Source organism: Homo sapiens, chromosome 14 (genome assembly GCF_000001405.40).
Source record: "Homo sapiens chromosome 14, GRCh38.p14 Primary Assembly".
NCBI lineage: Eukaryota > Metazoa > Chordata > Mammalia > Primates > Hominidae > Homo > Homo sapiens.
The window spans coordinates 100,603,311-100,613,521 of NC_000014.9; the positions used below are offsets into that span (position 1 = coordinate 100,603,311).

General features: G+C 56.2%; 1 annotated feature.

Annotated features, from left to right (window-relative positions):
* Nucleotides 244-743: an enhancer, noted in NCBI's record as "H3K4me1 hESC enhancer chr14:101069891-101070390 (GRCh37/hg19 assembly coordinates)". NCBI's record gives its function as "activates a minimal SCP1, AML or CMV promoter by ChIP-STARR-seq in primed H9 embryonic stem cells {active_cell/tissue: H9 hESC(primed)}" and the evidence as "EXISTENCE:reporter gene assay evidence [ECO:0000049][PMID:30033119]".

The following is a 10,211-nucleotide window of genomic DNA, read 5'->3' on the forward strand; positions in this document are numbered from 1 at the left end:
AGAAGCCCCCACCCCAAAACATCCTAATTTCTCTCCCCGGTGTCCAGCCAGAGAGCACCCAGAGGATGACGACCCACAGCAGGGAGTGACAAAGCTGGCTCAGTTTCTGTGATGACCCCTTCCCCTGCTCAGCCAGGACTCGATGCCAGCAGGCGGCAGCTGCCACTGCTCTCCAGGACCCCTCCCGCCCCTGCTGTACCCGGCTTTCTTCCTCCCTGTTGCTTCCCACATCTTGTTGCGGCTTCCTCCTCTCGGAGTGGCGGCCCCTCCCCTGGCCAATCTCCCTGGCTGAGGTCTTGGCATCCTTCCTCTAACCCATGGTGCTTGCCCACAAGTGGCCTTTGTTCCCGGTCCCGCCTCTCTATCCTGCCCTTGCTCCTCAAATACCATCTCCAGCCTTCGTCCAGCCCTGCTGGGCCCACACACCTTGCAAGGAGCAGTGGTGGGGACAGTGCAGTCTGTAGCCCTGTGGAATGCAGTCGTGGGTGGGGGCAGTGGCATGACTGGTGCAGGGGTGGAGCCATGGGGGTGGTTTGGCAGTTTGGTGGGTAGTAGAGGCAGTGCAGGGAGTCCCGGTGGTGGGGTGGGGTGCAGTGCAGGGGTGTGACTTTGGCGTGGACGATGTGACTTCCCTCTCACTCCTGCCTCCCACAGGCTGCTGCCCCTGGCAAGGGTGGCCAACATGTGGGGTGTTGCCACCTGATACCCTTCCCCTCACCCCCTTGCCCGTCCTTCCATCTGGCTAAGAGAACCCTGATTTGCTCTGATCACCTTGTTTCTTGCATATGGCCACCAAGCCAATCGTGGTGCCATTGGTCTTGCCAGCAACGGTTCAGGATGGGCATGGAGGTGGCTGGGGCAGTCCCGAGGAGATGGGAGGAAAATGCGCTGGCGAACTTCCCCCATCAAAGAGACTCATAGGACAGACACTGTCACTGCTCCCTGAGGTGTGTTAACACGTGCAGGCGAGGTCTGGAACCAAGGGCCACCTTGGGACATGTGGGATGGAGCCACCAAGGCTGGGAGAGCAGATTGGGGAAGGACCCCAACCCCAATGAAGCCACCGAGGTGCTGAGATATCCCATCTGCACGCCTTCCTTAGAAAGCAGGCCCTCCTCATCGCTGTGATGCGGGGACGAGAGTCACCACCTGCCTGCGTCATCAGGAGGAGCAAAGGGCTCACGGAGGGGGCTCCCAGGACAGGCTGTGGACACACTATGTGCCCCAGAAGGACTTGTTTTCCTTCCTTGAAGTGGGGGTGGCGGTGGCAAGAGAATATGGGTCCCAGATGGTCCCCACCTCACCCTGGGGCACAGAGACTTCAATATTATTTGTAGTGTTTCTATATTTTGCTCTAAAAAAGGGAAAGAGTTGAAACAATCAGGACAGAATGCTAGTGATTGTCCTTTCTGTGTGGCGGGCGCACAGCTGTGCGCGCTTTGTTCAGCGGACTGTTCCGAAATGAAATAAAACGAAACGCAGAGCCGCCCTCCCCCCACCCCCCGTGCCCGGTCTGCAGGCCTGCGGGTGCTGCGTGGCGCGGCGGAGTGTCCCCTGCTCTGGTTTCAGGATGGCTCAGCCCAGCGTCCTCCCCGTCCCTGTCCTTGCCAGCGTTGCCAGCTCACGCTCCTCCCTGCAGCCCTCGTGCTTGGAGCAGAGGAGCAGATGGCGGCTCCGAGGGCCACCTGGGTGCCCTAGACACTTCTCTTTTCCCTGCACCATGCAGGGCCTGTGGCCTGCCAGCAGCTCCGGGTGAGGCTGTGGAAGCTGCTATGGGCTGAGAGATGGAGAGGTCCTGGTCTCCACAGGGAGGAGGGAATCAAGGGGAAGGTTCACCCTCTTTGCTTCTCTCCCGCAAGCTGCTGTGCAGCCCCCTGGCTCTGTGGGTGTTGGGGAAGGGGGGTGCTATCAGGAAATCCAGTGTAACTAGGGGTTCTGTCTTACAGTTTGGGCTTCAAGGGATGTCCCCAGCAGGGCCCCAAAGAGCAGCTGTCAGGCCCAACACATGAGCAGTGTCAGGAGGCCTCAACCCACCTCTGCCCAGTAGGTGCCCCCATTCCAACCAGTGTCCTGGATCTCCCTCGGGCCTTGCTGCTTGTCTCTGCCATTGTCAGAGCCCGGGGAGTTCCCACCCCTCCTGGGTGCTGGGTCCACGAGGGGACTCAGCAAAGGGTGACTTTGAGCCAGCTCAGAGCAGAGGGGCTGGGGGCTGGGGGTATGGAGGGAAGGGGTCTGCAGGGCAGGGGGCGGGTGGCCCAGAGTGTGGGTGGGAGCAGGTTTGAGGAGGGTGGATGCATGTCCAAGGGGGAAAAGGAGAGCTGGGTTTGTCCTGCTCTGGGTCTCAGAAAGTCTGAATGACTTGGATGAACCACCCTGTCTTCCAGCCTCAGGTTTAGCCTTTTGTAAAATGGTCCTGTTATGGAGGACTTGGGGTTACTGAAAGAACACAAGACACCCTGGTGCTTTATTCAATAAGTGCCGCCCCTTCCTGCCTCTGGGGCAGGCTGGTCACTGGCTCTGAGCACCAGGCATTCAAGACGCCTTGCTGCTGGCTCTGGCCATTTACTTGGTCTCTGTTTGGGCTTATCTGGGGCCTTGTGGCCACCAGGCCACCCACACGCTGAGCAGCCCGCCACCCTGAAAGCTGGGCTCTGGTGTCCCGTGTATACCTTCTTTGTCCTGAACTGCCTGCACCAACCTGTCAGGAGCGCAGGGTAATGTACCGGTTAGGTGCTGAATGCAGGATGGCTATTTCACTGTTGTTACGGAGAGGAAAACCCAACAGTTCTCACCCCCATCCTCCTTGCCAACGTCTCTGGAGGCACGAACATGTTAACTGTGTTAGGCAAAGTTGGAGATTTCTAAGCTCCACAAGCCCCAGTCCGCCCAGCCTCCACCTTCCTCCCACACACCTCTCTCCCCCGCCGCAGCTCCCCGGCGAAGAGCGACTCCCAAGGTCTCCAGGCTTTGCAAAGTGATCATCGTGGGCTGCGTTGCCGGAGGTTTTCTTCACACTGAAATTATCCAGAGGGAAGGCGAGAGCCCCTGCGTGTCCTCTGTGGGCGTGCTTGTCAAACGGATGCTGACGGAGTGGGCCCATGTGTGTGGATAACGCCCACCTTTTTGCTGCCCTCACCTTGCCTCTGGGGCCTGTGGTTATAACTGAAGGCCCCTGCCTGCCTAGCTGACCACTTGGTCATTCAAGGCGCCTCTGTGGTGTCCTCAGGGCGTCATAGTAGCTGAGCCAAGAGTGACTTTGCTGCAGCAAGAAGCAGGAAGCCAGCTGAGCTTCTCAGCCTCCTCTCCACCCACCCACTGGCTCCAGACTGGAAAGCGCGTGTTCTTCCTGTCCATTCAGTGAATCTCATATTTCACATTCCCGCTCTTGGGTCTCAGGCAACCAGAGGGATGCCCTATTTGTCAGGACTCTTTAGGTTGCAAAGAACAAAGAATACAACTCCTGGTGGCTTCAACATAAAGGAAATATATTGGCTTATGTAAATGAAGAGTTAGAAGCTTCAGGTAAGGCTTGATCCAGCACCTCAAAAGATTGTCACCACAGACGCAGCTGTACTCTGTCTCTCTTCATTCTTGGGATCCAAATGGTGCCCCCAGCATGCCCAGACACTCCCCTCTTGGGAGTAAAATGTCTGCCCAGACTGCAAGCTCATACCCTTAGGTCTCCTCACCACTCCATTCTGGGGAAGAAAGGATCAATTTCAGTAACGCCAGACAGTCCTGAAATTGCCTCTTTTATTGGCTAAAAGTAGGTCACATGCCCGTTCCTAACCAATCCCTGTACCCAGGGGTGGGAGGTGCTGATTGACTTAAGCCAATGGTGGCCACGTTTAGAGTGGAGTTAGAGTCAGTTGTGGAGAGTCAAGTCTCAGTTGGCCAGAGAAAGGAGAGGTGACCAGTGATTGTCCACTAGAGTCACCTAGCCCGGGCAGCACAGGCAATACACTGTCATTTATTGAGCACCTGTGACATACAGGAGCTATCTGCTGCCTTCATGGGTACAGTCCCATTTAATCCTCATGACAGCCCTGAGAGAGGAGCACTCGGACTTCATCTTACCAGCAAGGAGGCTAAAGCTCTGAAGGGTGCAGCCACGTCACCACAGCCACGCAGCCACGTCACCACAGCCACGCAGCCACGGCCCCACAACTCAAAGGAACAGAATCGAGGTTGGTGCCTAGGTCTGGTTTTCCATTTACAGCAGGGGCTTTGTGCAAGTCCGGAGCTAAAAGCCAGCATGAACTAGATCCTCAGCGCTTCCTGAGCTATTTCCCCTGCCCACCCTGGAGGGTACCGGGGCTTGTGGGCTTCTAATGCAAGCACCTACGTTGCCCTGCTAAGGGCTTCTCTGGCCATGGTCCTGCACTTTGGCCTGCAGGCACTGGGCAGGCTGGAAGTGCCAGAGGTAACAGCTCTGGAGCAAACCCTCAACTCAGAAGGGGCGGGAGTGGTGGACAAATACCCTAGCCTCCTTGCCCTGCAGTGGGACAACTCCGAGGTGCGTTCTGTACCACTGCTTGGAGGGTCCCCAGCAGGCTAAGCCCCGGTCGCCACGGAGTCAACCTGCTCACTAACACCCCCACCCTGTCTCGCTTCCCCACTTTTGCACACGCTTCCTGGAATCACCTCCCACATAAGCCACTGGTACCCAAATGCTCGTCTCAGGGTTGGCTTTGGGACTTCCAACTAAGACAGCAACATTTGGGGCCTGAACCTCCTGTGTCCAGGTACCATGTGCTACCAGGCACATTGGGCGTCGACTTTTTATTTAACTTCTGTGTGAGTGTTCCCTTTACTGGCTCAGGATCTGTGGGCAGGGCAAGGGGAGGAAGAGAGGGCCTGGCCCTCCAGGTCTAGTTGAGGCCATAGGTCAGCACACAATACCTGATCTGGTGTTTGATGGACACTTCCTTACACTCCCTACCTGATGCCTAAATACTACCTACAACTTTCCTACCCCAGTGATTCCACTCTGCTTGCATGCCCCTAGAGATGGGGAGCTCACTACTATTGCGGCAACCAGCACCATCTATAGATGCCCCTGACTGCTTGAAATGTATTAGCTACTTAACAAATACTGCATGTTGAGTAAATGACTAAACAAAATAATTATTTTAATATCAAATCTCCAAGTGGAAGACTGGGACAGCCAGAAACACAATAATGCTGGGAATGAAGGGAAGGCTTGCATTTAGGCTTCCGTAATCTAATTCAGTGGGCCAAATCTGGGTCACTGTCTGTTTTTGTCCATCCTGCAAACTAAGAATGGTTTCTACATTTTTAAATGGTTGGAAAAAAAGAAGAATATTTCATGTAAAATTATATGAAAATTATATAAAATTATATATAATATATGTAAAATTATATGAAATTCAAGTGTCCACAAATTGAGTGCTCCTGGAGCCCAGCCAAGCTCACTGGTTCCTGTCCCGTCTGTGGCTGCTCTGACATCCCAGTGGCAGAGTTGAGGTGACAGAGGCGGCTTGGCCTGTTTAGACAGAGCCTAAAATATTTACTATCTGTCCCTGAAAAAGTGTGCTGACCCCGGTCTGGCTCAGCCTCACCAGCAGTGGGACCCCCCCTTTATATTTGAGGAAACCGAGGCTCAGCAAGATCAGAAACTCAGGCAAGGATTTGAGGGGCCCAACGCCCAGGATGGGAAGACTGACCCCAGAGCCAGGGGACCTCCCTCAGCCCGGCGCTCAGGCCCTCTGAGAGGCGGGTCCTCCCTCCCATGTCCTCGCTGGTCCTGCTGGGTGGCTCTGTGCTGCGCAGGGTGGGTGCAATCAGAGGCTCATTGATGCGCCGGCTTTGCGCGTCAGAGAATCAACGTTGCTTCCCCGAGCAGCTGGTGAAGGCTGAAAAGTGGGTCAGGTCCCAGGAGGTGCAGGTCCGTTTTTAGCTTTCATTAGGGCTTCATTCATTAATTCCTTCGTTTAGTATTTACTGAGCAGCTACTCAGTTCCAGCCCCTGCCATGGGGACTGAGAACACGGGCAGGGCTCGATGGAGTCGGGGTGGGGGTCCCAGCCCTGAAGGGGCCTGCAGTCTGGCGTGTGGGGGCCAATTATAGAAACAAGCGTGAAGTGGGGGTGTGATCAGGTGGAGAAGTAGCCCCCCAGCACTCACGTTCAGCGGGGCAGATGAGTGGAAGATGAGAAGGGCTCCTGACATCTGAGTGTTGGCGGGATGGAGCGGCAGGGAAGGCTTGCCAGGCAGAAGGACCTGCGCTTGCAAAGGTGTGGAGGGGTGAGGGTGGCGGGGGGGGCTTGGGCCAGCTGACGCCTATGTGGTGTGGGGGGCTGGGGCTGTGAGGGGTGAGGAGGCTGCAGAGTGGGTGGACATGGGGGCTTCTGGGGGAAGAAAGCAGGCCCCACGTGCGGTAGCGGAAAGGGCCCAGTGACAGCTTTGGGATGGGGTCAGGGGCCAGGCCTGCCACTTAGGAAGGTCATCTTGGAGCCACAGTGTGGAGGGGGTCCTGGCAAGGCAGCAGGGACAGAAGGCACAGAGGGGATGAGGGAGAGAGAAGCCTGAGTAGAGTGGGTGAGCTGGGGCTGGGGCAGCAGCAGGCCGCAGGCTGGGAGGCTCCTGGGGCCCCTTGGAGTGGTTTGATGGCCTCCGAACCCAAGCACCCCTGCTCTCTGCTCCTGCCCCAGGGCTGGGGGAGGGCACGGGTGGGGACAGAGGTGTTGGTGCTGGGGTCCTCCAAAGGTGCATCGCCAACAGCCACGCACCCTCAGCCTCCCCACCAGGTCCCTCCTCTGCAAGGACCCGCTGTCCCAGCCCTGCCACCTTGGAGAGGCTCCCCTGCTGTGCCCTGTTTTCTGACCCGAAGTATCCATGCATTCCCAAGACCTTGCCCCTGGGGACCGGGCAGGCTCGTGGATCCCCCATCTGATTCTAAACCAAGGCCAGACGCAGGCCCCATCAGAGGACAGACTGGTATGGTCACTGCCATAGCCTTCACCGTGGCACCGGCTGGCAGAGGAGCATGGGGCGCTCGGGGTGGTCCTTTGGGCCTCTGGAGCTCTGGGCATCACAGAGCATGTCCTTGGAGCCTCCCTAGAGCCCTGGGCGTGTTCGTACCTTCTCTGCTCCACAATTCAGTCCATGCTGCTGTCCGCAGTCCTCATGCCCTTGATGGTGATTAATGGTTGATGTGTGTGTTCTCTCCGGAGGCTGGGCCCTTGGGCGCAGTTAGTACCCTCAGCCCTGTGGACCACCCCTCCTGTGTGCCCAGAAGCTGGTAATGGGGTTACCAGATAGCCAGGGTCACATGGACTTGGGTGACAGGCATTCTGGGGTGACCAGCTGGGCAGAAAATGGGCCTCCTGGAGCCAGGCCAAGGAAAGCAACCACCCCATTGGCTATGGGGTGAACCCACCCCAAGGCAGGGCCCAGGGAGCCAGGTGCACGGATGGAGCAGGCAGGGATGGGTAGAGCAGTGCAGAGGCCACGATTAGTGGCTGAGGAGGGGGTACTGAGGGGAGCAGGGGCCTGGTGGGGATGGGTGCGGTTGAACTGTGGTCACTCTCTCAGATGACAAACAGCGCCAGCTCCTGCCATGTCTCAAAGCCCCTCCTCACAATCCTGGGTCCCAGGTGGACTTTCCAGACCCCTCAGACTGTGCATGGCCCCCTCAGAGGCCATGAGCCCTGGTTCCTGACACCGTGGTGCAGGGTCCTATTGTGCAGGGTGGTGGCCCTCAGCTACCTGCTGCGTCCGTCCTCGAACCAGCCTCCCTCTCCCAGCCCTCTCCGCTGGGCTGTCCCTCCTGGGTGTGGCCCAGTGCCTTATTGGTGAGAAATCACCGTTGTTCCAGCTGTAAACATACAGTTGAGCCTGAATCATCGCTGCCAGCTGCCGTGGGGGGTAATAAGGGAGCGTGTGTCAGGGTTTCTAAGTTCTGCTGGGCGGGTGCACCTCAAGGAGGAGACACAAAAGCCTTGGGGAAGGCCCGCTCTCTTCTACCTGGCCCGCCTGGGGTAGGCAGGGTCCTTCTGGCACGGGAGGGGCAGCGTGGAGCCTCCGCTTTCACTTCCAGTTGCAGTCAAAGCATCTGGTTTGGGGGCCAGGCGCAGTGGCTCACGCCTGTAATCCCAGCACTTTGGGAGGCCGAGGTGGGCAGATCATGAGGTCAGGAGATCGAGACCTTCTTGGCTAACACGGTGAAACCCTGTCTCTACTAAAAATACAAAAAATTAGCCGGGCGTGGTGGCGGGCGCCTGTAGTCCTGGCTACTCAGGAGGCTGAGGCAGGAGAATGGCTGAACCTGGGAGATGGAGCTTGCAGTGAGCCGAGATCGCGCCACTGCACTCCGGCCTGGGCGACAGAGTGAGACTCTGTCTCAAAAAAAAAAAAAAAAAAAAAAAAAAAAAAAAAAAAAAAAGAAAGAAAGAAAGAAAGAAATTGAGCATATTGTTCTCTTTGTAAAGGAATAGAATTTCCTGCTATGAAGATTGAAAGTGACTTTAAGGATACCGCTGCCCCAGTTCATTTTACAAAGATCCCAAGGTCAATCCCCTCTAGAGAGGAAATATGATCTGGTTTTGGGGAGACATTCGTCAGACCATGGGGTGAGCCTCAATGTCGCCTTGAAGAGTGAGGCAGGTGCTAACCCCAGGGATCCCCCAGAGGTGTCTAGGCCCTCTAAGATGCATGCCTCCGGAAGACCCTGCCTCGGTTTCCCTCCAGCCACAGGCTGGTGGATGTCTCAAGAAGTGTCTTGGACAGGCTGGCTCACGCCTGTAATCCCAGCACTTTGGAAGGCCAGGGCAGGAAGATTGCTTGAACTCGGGGGTTCGAGACCAACCTGGGCAACATAGCAAGACCTCATCTCTCTCTTAAAACAAAAATGATGTGTCTGAAGGAGTCAGCCTCTTAGAGGAACTGCCCAAAGTCCTCACCCTCCCGGGTCTTTGTGCCAAACCAGCACTGTGGCTGGGGCTTCTCCTAGGCCGGGTCCTTCTCTGGGGCTTCCAGGAGTCTAAGGTGCTCTGAGGTTGAGACACAGGGCTGCGCAACCCCTTCCCTCTTCCCCCAGAAGCCTCCAGATGCTACTGTCCTCATTCATGCATCCTGTGGATTCAATCATTCATTCAACAATGATTTTTTTGCATACTTACTGTGTGCCAGGCTTTGCTATGAGGGCTGGGAACACAACAGTGAACAAAAGCCCTTGCCCTCACAGAGCTCACGTTCTAGTGGGGAAGACAGACAGTAAATCAACAAACAAGCTGGGGCGCGGTGGCTCACGCCTATAATCCCAGCACTTTGGGAGGAGGTCAGGAGTTTGAGACCAGTTCACTTGAGGTCAGGAGTTCGAGACCAGCCTGGGCAATGTGGTGAAACCCCATCTCTACTAAAAATACAAAAATTAGCCAGATGTGGTGGCGGGCACCATAATCCCAGCTACTTGGGAGGCTGAGGCACGAGAATCACTTGAACCTGGGTGGCAGAGGTTGCAGTGAGCCAAGATCACGCCATTGCACTCCAGCCTGGGCAACAAGAGTGAAACTCCGTCTCAAAAAAAAAAAAAAAAAAAAGAATCAACAAACAAAGCAATAATATGTCCGGGCATGGGGGTGTCTCTCCTGCCACTGTATTTGGACAAGGGGACTGCGGTTAGGGGAGGCGTCCAACACAGTAGCCACCAACCACACGTGCCTGCTGAGTCCTTGAGATGTGGCGAGTGCCACTGAGAATGGAATTGTACATTTTATTAAATTAATTTGACTTTACATAGCCACATGTGGCTGGCAGCTGCCGTATTGGACAGTGTGGCTCTAGAGGAGCACATGGACAGGAAAAGCTGTCACAGCCAGTTGGAAAGTACGATCTGTGGTCCTCAGTAGTAAGGGGTGGAGCCCGAAGTGACCCTGAGGCTGCAGACTCCAAGGTCCCCCCACCCCCGCCACCCCGTTCACTGTGGCGGAGGCCCTGAGTCAGATCAGCCCCTGGCTCCATCTGGAAGCTTTGGATTGGGAGATAGCTCTGCAGTAGAGCATTTGACTGCAGAAGCTTCCGATGCCCCAGTACAGGCCAGGGGCAGGAGCAGGTCTGGGGCAGAACAGGGGCTGCCATCACTTTGGCTTGGAAGGAGGGGAACAGGAGCCGACTCCACCTGCATCCAGGTAGCTTAACTCTCAGCACTCAGAACTAAGACCACTCATCAACATGCTGTAACCCTTTGTC